This window comes from Homo sapiens, chromosome 13 (assembly GCF_000001405.40).
Source record: "Homo sapiens chromosome 13, GRCh38.p14 Primary Assembly".
NCBI lineage: Eukaryota > Metazoa > Chordata > Mammalia > Primates > Hominidae > Homo > Homo sapiens.
In genome coordinates, this window is record NC_000013.11 from 45,701,346 (window position 1) to 45,718,418 (window position 17,073).

Sequence of the window (17,073 nt, forward strand, 5' to 3'; positions counted from 1 at the left end):
ACAGGAGTCAAGCTCAAATTTGTCTCTTTCTGCTGGCATTAAGGCAGTACTTTTATTAGAAAAGGTTCAGGGGGTGGATTCTGAGATTAGTAGGTGATTTGTGCAAGGAAAAGGGAGGTCTGGAAAGTCCTTGGGCATGCATAGTTATTTCTTCATGTTAACTCCTGAGTTGCATGGCAAATTCAGGGAGAGTTAGTATGAAACGTGGTGGAAATTCAGGCTATGACATCAGCAAGCTTATTCTGTGCAAGCTCCAGTTAGCCATCTTGGTTCCAACCAGTTTCAGCCAGGTTTTTCTTGATCTCACAAGTGGAGGGAGTTTCAGCGGCTTAAGTTTCTTTTCTTATCTGCTATCTTGAAACTCAAAAATTAAGTAACTGGTTTCTTACTCTTTGGGACTTTCCAGACCTCCCATTTCCATCCACCAATCACCTACTAATCTCAGAATCCACCCCCTGAATCTTTTCTAATAAAAATACTACCTTAATGTCAGCACAGAGAGACAGATTTGAGCTTGACTCTTGTCTCCTTGGGAGTTGACTTTCAATATACAAGTTTTTCTTTTTTAAAGAACTTAGTGTTTTAGTATTGGCTTCTATTGCATTGGGTAGTGAGCCGCTTCAGCTCTGTAACACTAACTCTGGTAGATAGCATCAGGATGAAATTGAATTGTAGGGCACACAGTTGGTGTCAGAGAATTAAGGAATTGAGTAGTGTCAGAAAACACCTCAGACTACACTTTCTCCCTTGGTATGGGAAGAGTTCAGTTTGTGTTTCTTTCTTCTTGAGTGACCCAACTCCAAGAAGATGCCACTTCTGGAGAGAGAATAGGGATCTCAACTTAGCCTGGCAGTGAGAATACGAATGGCAGCTGGAATGACCCAACAGGGGGCTAATGTTTGGGCTATTGTGTGTGTCACACTGACCCTGACCAGCCAAGTAGTCACAGCACCCACAAGCTCTTCCTGCCTGTCAGATGCCTCATTCCCACCTGTGATGCTCAGAGAGAAACCATGAGCCCTGAAAAACACCATATTGTTTTGTGATGTCACCTCTGGAATGTTCTGAGTGTTTTGGTGACCAACTTCTGCATAGGACCTATACCTGGCAACTCACATTGGTATGGCTTTTTACTTGAGATAGAAATAATCATCTTAGACAGGGAAGCAGGTACAGCTATCTCCACTTCAAAAACTTTCAAAAGCCTTTTACATCAACTATAATATCTAGCTTAATATCTGTTCAGAGATTGATAAACCATCATGCCAGATATCATCTACACGTTCTTTCAGACTCAGACTTTCATAATTGTACATAATTGACAAGAGAGAAATAAATGAGTAGAAAGTTCTGTGTTTTTTAGGCGAGCAATTGAGGCCCAGAGGATGAGCTGGGAAGCAGTAATCTTCTTCTTTTCTCGTTTCCACAGCACTCAAGGCCAAATTATACAAGAAAAAGAGATACCAGATCTGAAAGCCTAGAAATTCCAATCAGTGTGGTTCTACCTCAGGTAGGGATAATCACAGAAGGATGTAACCTATCAGTGTTAGCCAGAATAACCCCCCATCTCCTCCTTCAAAACTCTAGCAAGATGTTGTAGAATAAGCAGAGATAGTCAGGGCTTCAGATTATAGTTTGGGTTGGGTGCCAGCAGGCGGTGTGCTGGGGAAGGCCACATAGCCCCTCTGGGCCTTGGGTTCTTTTTCCCATGAATGAGGTGGCTGGGTCAGATGATCTGGTAAGAACTTCCAGTCCTAACATTCCAAGTTTCTATGATACACTGAAGTAACCCAGCCTTCTCAAAACGAGATCTTTTGGTGCTTAGTGTTGTGCAATCACTCTGGATTTCTGGGGGAGAATTAGAACTGGGACTTGAAATCAAATGCATAAGAATGAATCCATGAGAAGAAAACCTCATCCGTGGACAAAGGGGTACAGAGTTATTTGGAGCTGTCAAGAGAATTAAGCCCTGCTATGCATCAAAGACAGATGTAGGGGCCATGGGCATAGATGCTTTTTCAGTCAATGAATTGGTGAAGTCCTCACAGGCTATAGAGTCTCAGGTCTCCTCCTGCCTGCAATCAGCTGTTTCCTTAGTGGAGTCCTCTTGATTGAATTGTTTCTACTGCTGCTATGTCACAAAGGGGTGGCTTTGCTTTCTCCAGAGTCACCTAAGTCCTCATTGGAAGACCAGGGCCATGCAACCAGAGGGGTTGAAATGTAGGATGGAGGAATCCAATGCAGAGGTAACTATCTGAGAGCTCTGTCCAGGGATGTGTAGGAGGAGGATTGACCACTGGTGGGCATTCCATATATATAATTGTAACAATCTAGGCAAGTATGTTCAGCGGGAGGCAAAAATATGGAAGAAGAAAACATCCTGGATGTTTATTTTCACATTATCTTTATAACTTTGTAATGAACAGTCACTTTTCTGTTACTTTTAGCCCATGAATCTTAGCCAGAATATAAGATAACTTCCCCCTGATCATTCAACAAGATAACAAGCTGTAGGAATCTTTTTGGGCCTGATTCTTTCCACCTGAAATACGCAGGGAGTTGTGTTAGCCACTACTCCCCCAAGAGTGGGTGTTACTGCTGTGATTCCTCATAGCCCATATAAACCAATCTTTTCTTCCAGAATCCTGGGGCCCCTCAACTTTACATGCTTTGAAAGTACCTCAGATGGCTGAATGTTCTCTGATAGTAACCCTCGGTAATGTTAGCAAAGTTGGTGTTTAAGAAACTTGGTCAGGCAGAGGATGCCAACCTAGGGGTGGGTGTGAAGGAGGGGGTAGGATTTGAAAGAGTAGTGGTCATGTGATAGAGAAATTGGAATGATGTTTCCATCAACACCCACCGCAACTTTCCCTCCCCAGCTCCCAGAAACAGCCCAACGATCAAGGAGAAGAGAAGGTGGTTTAAGACAGCTCAAGCTTGTCTTGGGGCTGCCTGCTTCCTGTGCTGGAGGACCTGGTGCTGCTGCTGGGGTCTTGTGGGGCAGAGTGGGTGAAGAATGAGAGGATATCTCCTGTCTGGGCACGTGTACCTCACAAGGGCAGATGCAGCTTCGTGCGTACACCTGCCAAGAGGGCACAAGCCATGCACCAGGTTTTGGACACCTGTCAGGATGCTCAAGACTGGCACTCTGGGGGATGGGTGTGGGTGTCTACAACTAGATGATCCGAACCAAAATACCACCAGGCCTGCGAGAGGGACCAGTGTGCTCACTCTACCTCCCTAAATGAGATGGCACATGGCTTAGGGGACAGGGTTGATCTGGGAAGCAAGGAGAGGAAGAAATATTGACTGAATGTTGGTGCGATCATGTGTCGGGCATGGGGCCAAGCAAGTGTGAGGTAGAGATTTTACAGGTACAGGAACCGGCAACCCCAGGAACCCCACTAGTAATGGCAGAGCTCGAGGAAGGGGCTTGAACTCAAATCAGTGCCCATGTTCTCCGCTATACTAGGGCACATGCCAGTAAGCTGGGCCATGCTGCATCTTAGCTCCATGGTTCTTCTCTTGCTTTTTGGAGATGGAGTCTTCTCCCTGCATCTTAACCACTCATCTCTGGGCTTCTTATTTTGTATTTGCCAAAAGCTGCTCTATTCTGGGATGGAGTCCACTTTCCATTTGTTTCAGAAAGGACTTGTGGCAGCAGCTCTGTCTCCAGAGACTGCCTCTGGCTCCCAGCTGCCAGTCCTGCTGTGCGTTTGGGCTTCTCAATTACATTGGAAATGCCTGTGATCACTACATGTTATCACCCTAAGGTCTTTTCAGGACTCATTGATTTCCTGTTTTTCTTCCTCACATTAAATATTTGTGTTTTCTGATCTCTTTCCCTCCAGCACATTAACTTGCAAGCCATCAGTGTCATTTCCAGCCCAAGCTAGCTGATCTCCTGGTTCCTTTTGTATGTAATGATTCAGTTCTCACAGACTTTCGCGTTTCCCCAATGAACGTGCTCTGTGAATTTCATTAAGGCATTGTTTACTCCTAGATCATTAATGAAAGAGCTACACCAGGTCAGACTGAGCTCCAATAGCACCCTCCGGTGCCTCCTTCATCCTTCCCAGTTGCCTTTTCTCCTTCCCCTTTGTTTGTGCTTGTTACTCAGAAGCAGTGAATTCCTGCTGACAGCACCCGCCAATTTGAATTCCCAGGAAGATTTCAGGAGAGTCTCTGTTAAACAGTATGCAAACATACTACATATGACATCTTCTTTATCCTCTTTGCTGTTAACGTTGTAATTCTGTCAACATCAATCACATTTACCTTGTGAATTATCCTTTTACCTGTTAGTATTTATTAAAACCACCATTGACTTTGCCATGGTACCAGGGAGCTGAATTAATTTAAAATAATGATAATGAGACTCAGCCTTGTCATCTCATATGAAAATCAGTATCATATTTGGCTTTTCCTTCCAGAATCCTGGGTCCTCTCAACTTCACATGCTTTAATAGTACCTCAGATGGCTGAATGTTCTCTGATAGTAACCCTCAGTAATGTTGGCAAAGTTGGTGTTTAAGAAACTTGGTCAGCAGGCTTGGACTCTATCAGCAGTGTTTGGACATCTCTTCTGGGCTGTGGTAGCCACATTTTTCCAGGGGTGGAGAGACATCAGTGTGTGTCAGCTAAGCCTGGCTAGTTGCTGTTCAATCCCATCCCCAAACTCTTTGGATGGGAAACCACACCCCCAGTAATTCTATCCCAGAAGGTCCCACCCAGAGAGACCTGTTGCTACAAGTCCTGTAGCACTAGTAAGAGATTTTGGTCCTTTCACTTCCCCTTTTCCTTTTGCCCTTTGGCCTTTGCATTTTGCCTCCCTTCTTTCAATTGTCCCCTTCCCCCATGTTCTTCACTTGCCACCAGGTTGGTGATCTGACAAAGACACAGTTGTTGGCAGATTTCAGGCATTTTCCTTCCAGGACCACTTATATTTACCAAGGAGGGCACCAGACCTAATGCTAAGGAAGAATTCCAATCCACAGATGGGACTTCAGGCTTCTGTGAGGGCGATGTTCGTGCCCATGGCCCTTCCTGGATCCCTGTCACTAATGCATCATTGGGTTACAGCTATGAGCACATTTCCCCTGAGGACAGAGTCTCTTGGCACCTTTCTAGCACCCGACAGGAAGGCATGATGAGCCCATGACCAACTTATTCCCCTTCTGCATCAGCTTCATATCTCATTCCTCCATGAAGAAGCCAACCTTTTTCTTTCCTACCTACTGGATCTCTATGTGAGGGCATTTCCTAGAGACCAGAAAAGAGACAATCTTTTATTTTCATGGTCAGTTGCACCATGCTACACAGGCTGTACCTCCCAGGCTTAGGAGAACATTACTGGGGTGTTCTTGGGGCTTTGTATTGGCATAGACCTCTTGTCAAGGGCTAAAGGATATCAGGGCAGGTTAGCTTGGCCCATGAAACCAATCCAGTGATACCACTGGTCGAGGAGTCCTACTGAGAAGGAACTGGCTTCTAACATAGGCCAAGGAGGTCTGGAATCCTGGAACTGCATATGTTCGCTGAGCTCAGATGCTTAGTTTTTGGGTAGCCCTTTTGTAAAGAAATATACTCCACGTTGCATAGCGCTTTAGGCTGGGTATGTTTAAACCTTACCAGTAGAACTGACCATCTGTTTAGTCTTTATGACAGCTTGGCTACCACTTTCTTGTCCTCTGGCAACCCCAGGAAGTAGGCAGAGCAGCCATGTTTAGGCTTATTTTAGAGGTGACATTCTGAGAGGCAAAATGACTTTCTCAAGAGCAGTCAAAGGAAGGACTTTTGAGCCCAAAGTTACTGGAAATTTAGGGCGTTTACCCTCGTTGGATTATATATTCAAGATGATGAAAGGGACCACTAGCGTGCTTGTGTGCAGGGGGTGGTGGGAGCTTCCTCTAAGGGAGTACATGGATGAACCTAGGGGTTTGTGGAATTCACGTGAGGAAAACTCCATGCTTATAGATTTTACATCATACCATAACAGCTTTGCCCTGGGACTATTTTAAAGTCTTAAAATATGAATGGAAATGAGGATATAGCTTATCAAATACACTAACTATATTAAGGCAAAAGAAATGGCCATTTTTGTAGGCCAAAAATGGTAAAATGTTAACAGTTTCTTATGGTTCAACCTAGTATTTCCTCCCAATCTTTCAGTGTATTTTGGTTGATTCAGTTATTGCCAAGGACTCATTAAGCCTCCACCACATGTGAAATTTGCTTTCTAATTCCCAAGACTTGGGATGTCACAAAAACAAGGGATAGGTCACTGTGCTTAGATAATTGCAACTTACTCATATGGGGAGAGGACAGGCCTGGTTGTAAGAGAACCATTGCAAAGTAATGATATTAGCACATGCAAAATAAAATGTCTGAGCATTGTGAAGTGCTAGAATAAACATGGAGTTTGGAGTCAAATATCCTCATTTTAAACCCTGGTTCCACTCCTTTATCAGCTATGTAATCTTATGCAGAATCATGCCAGTTCTTTGGGTAAGATATTACATATGAATACAGAAATCAATTAGCATATAACCTGACACATTATAGTCACTCAGTGTTATTTTTTTTCTTGTTCTATATAATCTTTCTCTAAAGAAATGCTAAGCAATGTCTCTTCTAAAAGCCCTTCTTGTATGTCTGCAGCTCTTTATAAACAAAGAAAATGTTCCGAGTCTCCTTTTATTTCTGAACAACAAACCCTCTGAGAGAAGTAGGGCAGATGTTGGTGAGGTCGTTATAGAGGGTTGTACAGGTTGTGCCCTGCAGTAACAGTGAATAGCGCCTTTTAGAGTTGGGCATTTCAAAAATATATGGGTTGGCCCTGATTCATTCATGTCAACATCCACATTTTCTAGGAACTAAGGCACAGAAATGAAGTGACTTTGTAAAGGTCATGCACTCATATAGTGCAGAGCCAGAATTCTCTGGAGATGTTATCATTTCTAGTCCCCTATTCCCCACACCTTGCTGCCTGCGTTAATGCTTCCTGCATTTTGACTTCTCTCATTTGCATCAAGAAGTAATTGGTGCTATTCACTGATTCTTCAAATCAACTGGAAATTCCCTGAGGGCAGGGTCTGTGAGCTTGGAACACAGTACGTGCCAAATTAATGTTAGTTGATTCACTGACACTAATGTAGGGGAAAAATTGGTGCAATAACATCCTGAGTGGGTACATGACTAGGGTGAAGAATTTTCACAAGGCCAAGAGCTTTCCTTTAAGGATTAAATCCAGCTAGCTCTGATCAGAATCAGAGAAATGCTACAGGAAAAAACAAGTTTGTTCTGGATCAATGTTTTCCTGAAGTTCAATCATGATCCTTGTCATGTCTAAAAATGCCTGTATATTTAATATAGGTATGTTTTCCCATTACTCATTAAAATAAGTATATGACTACTGAAAAATTTTTAAATGTTCTAAGAAATTAAGCCATGAGGAAACACTGCACTTGACCACTTTCTTGGTCCTGTCTGAGGATAGGAGGAAAGATAATAGGACTCAGTCATTGGAGAAGAATTTGGTTTCCTGTTGAGAAAGTAAAGGGGACTTATTTGTCCATCAGCATTTCCTGGATTAGGTGCTGTGGGCATGGAACAAGAGAAGGCACAAAGCCTGCTTGGGAAGAGTTGGCCATTTAGGGGAGAGGACGAGATGCCAACTAGGTTGGTAAAAGAGGGCTGCTGGGGCCATAGTGGTGCCAATTTACAAATGCAAATCCACTGGACCAGAGACAGTTAGGCCAAGAGAGCACTTAGAGATAATGACTCTTACCCTTCATTTTACAGAAGTGGAAACTAAGGTCAGAAAGTGAGTGGATATGAGCAAGATCACCTGAATGTGTGAATAAAGACCAGGGCACAAACACCCAGGTTGTCCGTGGCTAGGGATCCACCATATGTTAAGGTTTTGTTTAGTGTATTTCTGTTGAGGGGATGACAGAATGTTCCTTGGGTACCCAGTGTGGAAGGTGGATGTAGAACACAGGCAGCTGAATGCCATGGGTTAAAAGCCATCATGGCCAAATATGGACAGGTAGAAAGCATCCATGATTCCTCTTTGGACCCTTAGTTGGATCAAGAAGATTGTCTCTCTGGCTGAAACAAAACGATCGTTAAAAAGAAATGAGAATTGGGGAAATTTGAACATGGGCTCAGTATTCGCAGATATTGAGGGATAATTGTTAAATGTTAAAGGGTGATAATGGTATTGTGATTCTGTTAAAGAGGCACATATTTATATATTTGTGGATAAGATGACACAATGTCACTTTGCTTTAAGATAACCTAGCGGTAGGGGAGTGGTTGTGGAATCAGGTTGAGGCCTGGTGAAACAAGTGTGGCCTTGATTTGATACTTGGTGAAGCTGAGTGATGGGTACATGGACATTTATTAGACTATTCTCTCTCTTTTTGTGTATGTTTGAAATTTTCCATCATATAAATTGAAGGAAAAGATATCATGTTCCCCAAAGTACTGCAGGACTTTTGATAAATCCATGGTGGTTTCCCATGTGTGTACTTCACACATAGAAGGTCAGGGAGCCAGAAGTGGGTTTGTGTCTTAGTGAAGGAGCTAGTGCTGGTTATTTAACATCTCTGAGTTTCAGTTTCTCCATCTGTAAAATAAGAATAGTAATAATATCTTACATGTCAGTGTGGTGAGGATAAAATGAATTTAGTAGGTAGAATGCTCAGCTCACGGCCTAGCATGAAATTGAGGCTTAATATTTGTTTCCTTCTTCCATTTTCTTCTCAGGACTGGGATGCACATGTTGACTAAAACCACATTTTTCCATGTTGATAGCTTCTGGAGTCAAATCCTGCTGAGATAAAGTATTAGTTCTAGTGCAAGGATGGAGAGAACCTCTTAAGATTCACTCCTGCCAGGCACGGTGGCTCATGCCTATAATCCTAGCACTTTGGGAGGCAGAGGCAGGCAGATCACAAGGTCAAGAGATCGAGACCATCCTGGCCAACATGATGAAACCCCGTCTCTACTAAAATACAAAAAATTAGCCAGGCGTGGTGGCACGCGCCTGTAGTCCCAGCTACTCTGGAGGCTGAGGCAGGAGAATTGCTTGAACCCGGAAGGCGGAGGTTGCAGTGAGCCGAAATCGTACCACTGCACTCCAGCCTGGGCGACAGAGTGAGACTCCGTCTCAAAACAACAACAACAACAACAACAAAAACCACCACCACAACAAAACATTCACGTCTTTGGCTTTGACCAGTCTTCCCAGAAATCCTGGATCTCAGGACCTTAAACCTATCAGAAAATGGTCTAGGTTATCCACAGTGAGGTTCATTCTGATCACAGACAGCTACAGGAGCCAATCTGCTTTCCCAGTTGAGAAATGTGAAAACCAGGGAGGCTGAACTTTTTTAAACTAAATAAAATTCCGCTTGCAGAATGCCCTCATACCCTTGCTATCTGGAAGATTGAGCGTATCCTTACAAAGTTAATGACATGTGCTTATTGCAAAGTTAATGGCATAGAACTGCATCTTCTATTTATCTAGCTCTTTAAGTTTTAAAGAATTCTAACCAACTTTATATACCATGCAAATTGTGTTTCTCTCTCTACATACACCCACACATATATATATAATGTAGTTAGCCTGACTTGTTTTTTATTTTCTCTATCTGTACGGTTGTGAAAGTAACCTAAGACATAAGGAATTGATATCTGGAGAGCATTTTGATATACTTGGATGAAGTACTTTTGGTGTATTTGGAAGTAGCTATCATGATCTGTTTACTTAAATTCATGGCTGCAATCATCACCTCTTCTCTAGTGTGCATTCTACTTGCTCACTTCTTTTTGAATACATCTTATAATTCTTGCATTAGTGAAATCTACTCTTCTTGATAATAATACCTTATGGTTCTTTGGCACTGTTGGTTTTAAAAATATTTTTGCATTCATTATCTCATTTAATCCTCACAACAGTGTTGTGAACTAAGCAGGGCACATATTATTTCTATTTTACAGGTATATTTCATTGACTTTTCAATGTTGGAAGGTGCCTTTAAGATCATGGAGCCCGACTCCCTCTTTTTCACTCGTGAAAAGTCTGGGTCTCAAAGAGGATAAGAGAGCTGTCTGGTTTCAAAGTGCCCATCAGTGACAAAATCAGGATGAGAATTCTTGTGACCTTTCAGTCTGTAATGCTGGTGCAACCCTCACTTAAGCAAATTGCCTATTCTACTTGACTTAGATCTGTCCTAACCACCTGCAGCCAGGAACACCTGAAGGAGCTGGTTAGAAATGCAGATTCCTGGGCCACACCCCAGTCTGAGTAAATCAGACTCACAATGGGAGGCTCAGAAATCTGCATTTAAAACTCACTGGAGTTATTTTTCTGTACTGGGATGTGTGAAAGCTACCAGCTCATTGGAGTTAAGCTCTGTGGATCTGAGCCCCGTTTTATGCTGTGGTCTTGAGGTCTATGGCCACCATCATGAATTCCTCAGGGTCCTTGACTGGCTTTATCACCACATGTTGAACGCTCATTGCTCAGTGATATGTCTGGGATGGGTTTTCTTTCTTTCCAAAATTATTAGTTAGACTCTGCTTTGAGTCTAGCATTGCATTAGAAGCTGGGGTGAATGTTTAAGGGGCTGCTAGCAGAAAAGACTCAAGGGTGGCTAAGAGTGAAGGATATGCCCAGATGGGCAAGAGAGAAGGCTGGGCTGACCAACGGCACCGCCATTTTGGACACAGCAATTTGGGTGGCTGTTTGGATGATTCATGCTGCTTCTCTGCTCATGCTAAGTGTGAGTACACATCTGTGGGTGGTGGCCCTTGAGAACAGTGTTTGTTCCTCCTTTAGGGTGACAGAATGTGCCAGAGCCCATGCTTAGTGCTTTTGTACATTGCCTTTTTTAATCCTAAAAATGTCTCTATGAGGCAAGGAGTAAATGCAATTATCCCAATTTGAAAATGTGGAAATTAAAGCTCAAATAACTTGCTCAAATTCTTGTTAATTGGTAAGTAGTGAGGCAAAGACTCAAAATATTTGGTTGACTCTAAAATGAATGCCTTTGACCACCATAATATATAACTGTTTCTTATTATTCACGGATTCCATATTTGTGAATTTGCCTACTTGCTAAAATGTGTATCCACCAAATCAATACTTGTAGCACTTTTATGGTAATTCTCAGACATGCACGGAGAGGTGAAAATTTGAGTTGTGTGAAGTTGAGTCCCCAGCCAAGGAGCCTTCTTGTTTCAGCTCTCAGGCTAGAAAATAGTGTCCATTGCGCAGTCTATCTAGTGCCACTTTTTTTGTTTTGCCTTCTTGTGCATTTTGTTGGTGATTTTGCTGTTAAAAATGGCTTCTGTACCATTCCAAGTCAAGTGCTGTCTAGTATTCCCAATCACAAGAAGGCTATGCTGTGCCACATGGAGAAAACACATGTGTTAGAGAAGTTTTGTTTGGGCATGCGTGACAGTGCTGCTGACGTGAATTTGATGTTAATGAATCAACAATACGCACTAAATGAGGTTATGTATTGCTTGGTTGACAAAACTGTGACCACAGGCTCACAGGAACATAGCCCTCTATTTCCTGTAGGAGCAATGGTTCTATATTTGCTAATTCAGTATTGGAACTGACTTCATAGAACAGAACTCACTGGAATGACAAGGATAGGCCACATTTCCTTGTGAGGACCCCAAGAAGCAAAAGCGCCCACTGTGGCCAGGCCAGACAATCAGACGGGGCTTATTTGGGGATGTCCTGGCCCCTTTGTCAGCCAGCCCCAAGTGTGTCAGTCCCATCGTTAACGCTGGGCTTTCCCATTCTCTCCCGCAGAGGGGCACAGCCGAACCCTTCCCGAGGCTCCACAACTTGTACAGCACCCCTCGCTGCGCGCAGCAGGCCGCCCTGCCCCGGCTGAGCCGCAGGATGGCGAGCCAGCACTCCTATCCACTGAACCGCTTCTCCTCCGTGCCTTTAGACCCCATGGAGCGCCCCATGTCCCAGGCCGACCTGGAGCTGGACTACAACCCGCCGCGGGTGCAGCTCAGCGACGAGATGTTCGTGTTCCAGGACGGGCGCTGGGTAAATGAGAACTGCCGCCTGCAGTCTCCCTACTTCTCCCCATCCGCCTCCTTCCACCACAAGCTGCACCACAAGAGGCTGGCCAAGGAGTGCATGCTGCAGGAGGAGAACAAGTCTCTGCGGGAGGAGAACAAGGCCCTGCGCGAGGAGAACCGGATGCTCAGCAAGGAGAACAAGATCCTACAGGTCTTCTGGGAGGAGCACAAGGCCTCGCTGGGCCGAGAGGAGAGCCGGGCCCCCTCGCCACTGCTGCACAAAGACAGCGCGTCCCTGGAGGTGGTGAAGAAGGACCACGTCGCCCTGCAGGTGCCCCGTGGCAAGGAGGACAGCACCCTGCAGCTCCTCCGGGAGGAGAATCGCGCGCTGCAGCAGCTGCTGGAGCAGAAACAGGCCTACTGGGCGCAGGCAGAGGACACGGCCGCCCCTGCCGAGGAAAGCAAGCCCGCCCCCTCACCCCACGAGGAGCCCTGCAGCCCCGGGCTGCTGCAGGACCAGGGCTCCGGCCTCTCCTCCCGCTTCGAGGAGCCCAAAGGGCCTCCGGCCCGGCAGGAGGACTCCAAGGAGCTGCGCGCCCTGCGGAAGATGGTCAGCAACATGTCCGGGCCCTCCGGGGAGGAGGAGGCCAAGGTGGGCCCGGGCCTGCCCGACGGCTGCCAGCCCCTGCAGCTGCTGAGAGAGATGAGGCAGGCGCTGCAGGCCCTGCTCAAGGAGAACCGGCTCCTGCAGGAGGAGAACAGGACCCTGCAGGTGCTACGGGCAGAGCACAGGGGCTTCCAGGAGGAGAACAAGGCCCTGTGGGAGAACAACAAGCTGAAGCTGCAGCAGAAGCTGGTCATTGACACCGTGACCGAGGTCACCGCGCGCATGGAAATGCTCATCGAGGAGCTCTACGCCTTCATGCCGGCCAGGAGCCAGGACCCCAAGAAGCCTAGCAGGGTCTGAGGCCTCGGCCTTGCACCGGGACGCCGAGTTTGGGACACCGAACACTGGGCAAAAGAGAATCCCCTGCCTTCCTTTGTCGTCCTCGCCTTCCCCAGCCAGTTCGTACCTATTGAAAAGCAGCGTTAGCAGCCTTCCTAAACTCAGAGTTTTAATAAAGGTGTGAGGAGGCTGGGGCCAGTTGACACCAGCATGCTGCCTTTTTCTTTCTTTCTTTCTTTCTTTCTTTTAATAAAAGATAGACAATATTTTAGAGCAGTTTTGGGTTCACAGCTAAACTGAGCAGAAAGTACAGGGAGTTCCCATAGACTCCCGTCCCACAAATGCATAATCTCCCGCATTATCACCATCCCTCCAGAGAGGTACACTAGTGACAGTCTTTGAACCTACATTGACACATAATTATTCCAAAGTCCGTAAGTTTGTATTAGGGTTTGCTGCTGGTGTTGTACATTCTGTGGGTTTGATCAAATGCATAGTGACATGTAGCCACCATTGTAGTACCATATAGAGTATTATAGAGTATATGTAGTACCATATAGAGTATTTTCATTGCGCTAAAAATCCTCTGTGCTCTGCCTGTTCATCCCTCCCTCCCCCTCCAGCCTCTGGCCACCACTGATCTTTTTTACAGTCTTCATAGTTTTGCTTTTTTCAGAATGTCATATAGTTGGAATCGCCAAGTGTGGAGCCTTTTCAGGTTGGCTTCTTTCACTTGGATATGCATTTAAGTTTCCTCCATGTCTTTTCATAGATTCAGAGACTGCTCATTTCTTTTTAGCACTGAATAAAATTCCATTGTCTGGATAGATCACAGTTTATCCTTTCATCTACTAAAGAACATCTTGGTTGCTCTCAAGACAATTATGAATCTGGCTTCTTCTCTCTTTTCCCCTGGTCTCTTCTTTACCTCTGCCTTCATTATTGTCTCTGTTTTTCTCCTTCAGTTCTTCCTTTTTTTCCTTAGTTTTTTCTTCCTCCTCTTCTCTTTCTCCTATCCTTCTTGCTCCCTCATCATCTCCAATTTCTGAGGCTATGGGGGTGGGGGTAGGTCTATGGGGGAAGAGATCACCCTAAGCCAGGGCTTTTCGATTGTGCCTTTATTATTCGGGGCTGGATAAGTCTGTGCTGGGGTCTGTCCTGTGCATTGCACAATGTTTACCAGCATCCCTGGCCTCTACCCACTCAATGCCAGTAACAGCCACCTGGCTCCCAGCTGTGACAACCAAGTATGTCTCCAGACATTGCTGAATGTCCCCTGGGGGACAAATTTCAACACTACTATAGGTTTCTCCAAGTACCATTGATTGAAACACAAGTCCTAGAAATACACTGAGAAAAATAAAGGTTTGCATGAGGAAATGCTGCTAGAATCCCCTCGGGCAGATTCATAATCATACTCTGACTTAAAGGTCCTAACAAGTCCTACAGTGAAGTAATCTGCTTATCCTGGATGAACCCCTAATTACCCAATTTGATGTGATCTTGAAATCTTTTTCTGTGTTTTCTCTGTTATTCACCCAGTTTGGGAAGGAGTGCCCTGTGCTCTCCCCAACCCCAGGCTCACTTCCCTACCCTCGGATTCCCTCTACTTACTCATGGTTCACACTTACCAGTTGGCTGCAAGAGATGAGGGTGGTTGGCTGTCAGGCTTACTGGGGGCAGGTGCAGAGGCTCAAGATTTGTTGTCCTGGGCTTCAATGCCCATTTCAAAGTTGGACATACTTTAGAGTCAAGAAATTGAAAGGTACTCCTAGGTGACTATAAAAGGGAGTTGGTCAGTGGTTCCTAAACTTTGCTGTATAGTGGAATCACCTGAGGGTCTTTGACAAGTATTGACACCTGGACCCCAGCTTAGACATTATGATTTAATTGATATTGGCTGTGACTGGGCAGTGGTGCATGTAAAAGCTCCCCAGGTGATTCCAATATGTAGCAAAGTTTAGGAATCACTGTAGTAGGATAGTTAAGCCTTCTGATTCTCAATGTAATGCTGCATTCACTAGTAATGAAAATAAGTGAGTAGTCACATGTTAAGGAAAGAAGTTTACCCATTTTGCTGATGGAAAACTGATCTTTGTATTGAGACAGACAAGAGTTTGAGACTGGAATATCCTCACTCCTCATCCACTGTTCATGCTGGCTAAATTTCTGAGACTTGAACAAGCCAAAGGCAGTCACCCGCACCCACAGAACTCTTTGCACACCACTTTTCACTTGATATGACCTCCAGTAATCCTCAGAGCCCTGTAAGGAAGGCAGTATCATTTCTTCCACAGATATGGAAACAGGAACTCCAAGGGATTTGCAGAGGTTAGCGAGCTAATAAGAGCCAAACAGGGAATTCAGTGTAGACCAAATGACTGCAGATCTCAAATTCCTTCTATGAGACCAGATTGCCAAGTAACTCTGGTCTCTGAAAATTAAGTTTAAAAGTGGCTTTGGGGCCAGGAGTGGTGGTTCACACCTGTAATTCCAGCACTTTGGGAGGCTGAGGTGGGCGGATTACTTGATCCCAGGAATTTGAGACCAGCCGGGGCAACATGGTGAAACCCCGTCTCTACAAAAAATATATAAAAATTAGCTGGGCACTGTGGCATGTGCCTGTAGTCCCAGCTACTCGGGAGGCAGAGGTGGGAGGATCTCTTGAGCCAAGGAGGTTGAGGCTGTGGTGAGCTGAGATCACACCACTGCACTCCAGCCTAGGTGACAGAGTCTCAAAAAAAAAAATTGTTTTGGTGTCTGTTTCTCAGATTTAGGAACTTGTCAAGTCTTACTCAAAATAGCATCAGAAATTCCAAAGGAGGGAGAACAAAATGACAGGAGTATTTCCTCTCGCTGACTACACACCTGATTTTCATACAGGGCAGAAGGTGACCGATGTCTACACAAAGGCTAAATCACTTATCCCCTGTGGCCACCAAAATCTGAAAAATGGGAAGTTGTTTTTGATAGGCCTCTGGCCCTTTGCTGTTTTTTGCCCTCCTATATTTGGTAAATTAATCATTCAGGGCATAATGATGTACCATAATTTGTCTAAGTCAGTATAATAACCCTGGAGTGTAGGGTTCTTTTTGTTTTTTTGATGAAACCAAATTGATTTATGTGATTCTAGACAGAAGACAAAAGGCACACTCCCCATGTTTGTGTTACAAATATTTAACTTGGATTAATGTATATAACAGCAGTTGGATGTTTTCTCACAAGCTGACAGAACTCAGAGAACATTATACTATTTAACAGTGTCAACTTTTTCTGTCAGGCAGAATCTAAATGGGTGAAAAATTAGCAAGACGAGCCATAAAATATCATTTTTATGGAGTGGGGGAGATTTACTTCAAAACAATGTTTCATTGTGTAATGCAATCTGTCATAGATTAGCTAGCAATCCAGCAGGATCTAACCTTGTGGAACAGAATGAAATTTCATTCTTCAAGGAGAGTATCCTTTAAGCATCTAGGTTCCTTTCGCAGCTTTTTCTTTGTCTGCCTCCTGGTCTAACCTTAAGTCCTTCTCTAGGAACCAAAGTTGTTTCCTCTTGCAGGGCAGGTCTTGGCTTCATTCTAAACATTCAGCTTTTCCTGTCTTCTTCCATTTGGCCCTTGACTTGACTGGCTTTCTTGGTTGCTGGATTAAACCCTCCTGCTGAATTGGCTGAATCCTGTTAATAGGTCTATCTGGTGCCCTAAGTTGTGGATCAGGTCAAATAAAGAGGAACATTCACAACCTAAAACAACTAGCTAGTGTACAACAAAAATAAAATCCTAAGCCCCCCAGCCGACTGAATAGGCCTCCCCTTCTTGGCTAAGGAGACCTGAGAGGAACCTGAAAAACTGAATTTCTAGCCACGATGGGAAGGGAGGTCAGATGTGCCTCATAATACTGCCCCCTTTTGGAGTTTAGGCAGAACTGACCAGCATTAACATTGAATAGAGATCGCAAGACCGACAACACAGACGCTTTGTGGCAGTAAGATACCAAGTTCCAACCTTCTGGCATAGCATCATATGACAGCAGACCCCAAAAGAAATAAAAATATTTTACCCCAA

General features: G+C 44.6%; 1 protein-coding gene across 5 annotated transcripts, besides 1 other annotated feature; it reads left to right on the forward strand.

Annotated features, from left to right (window-relative positions):
* Positions 188-487: an enhancer, noted in NCBI's record as "active region_7682". NCBI's record gives its function as "activates an Ori minimal core promoter by ATAC-STARR-seq in GM12878 lymphoblastoid cells {active_cell/tissue: GM12878}" and the evidence as "EXISTENCE:reporter gene assay evidence [ECO:0000049][PMID:35858748]".
* Positions 975-13,214, forward strand: CBY2 (chibby family member 2). Of its 5 annotated transcripts, XM_011534971.3 has the most exons (4): positions 975-1,120; positions 1,430-1,510; positions 2,166-2,246; positions 11,837-13,214. In XM_011534971.3, the coding sequence occupies exons 1-4, from the start codon at positions 1,046-1,048 to the stop codon at positions 13,025-13,027; spliced, it is 1,428 nt and encodes a 475-aa protein (XP_011533273.1). In that variant the 5' UTR covers positions 975-1,045; the 3' UTR covers positions 13,028-13,214. The 5 variants fall into 5 exon arrangements, with proteins under 5 accessions (XP_011533273.1, NP_689932.1, NP_001273270.1 ...); NM_152719.3 differs by lacking the exon at positions 2,166-2,246; NM_001286342.2 differs by lacking the exons at positions 975-1,120; positions 1,430-1,510 and adding an exon at positions 1,124-1,170.
* The last annotated feature ends 3,859 nt before the right edge of the window (positions 13,215-17,073 follow it).

Coding starts and splice junctions, on each gene's coding strand:
- CBY2 (XM_011534971.3), top strand. CDS start 1,046: ATGTCACCTCTGGAATGTTCTGAGTGTTTTGGTGACCAACTTCTGCAT. Junction 1,511..2,165: donor TCAGTGTGGTTCTACCTCAG/GTAGGGATAATC, acceptor TGCTTTCTCCAG/AGTCACCTAAGTCCTCATTG. Junction 2,247..11,836: donor TGGAGGAATCCAATGCAGAG/GTAACTATCTGA, acceptor TCTCTCCCGCAG/AGGGGCACAGCCGAACCCTT.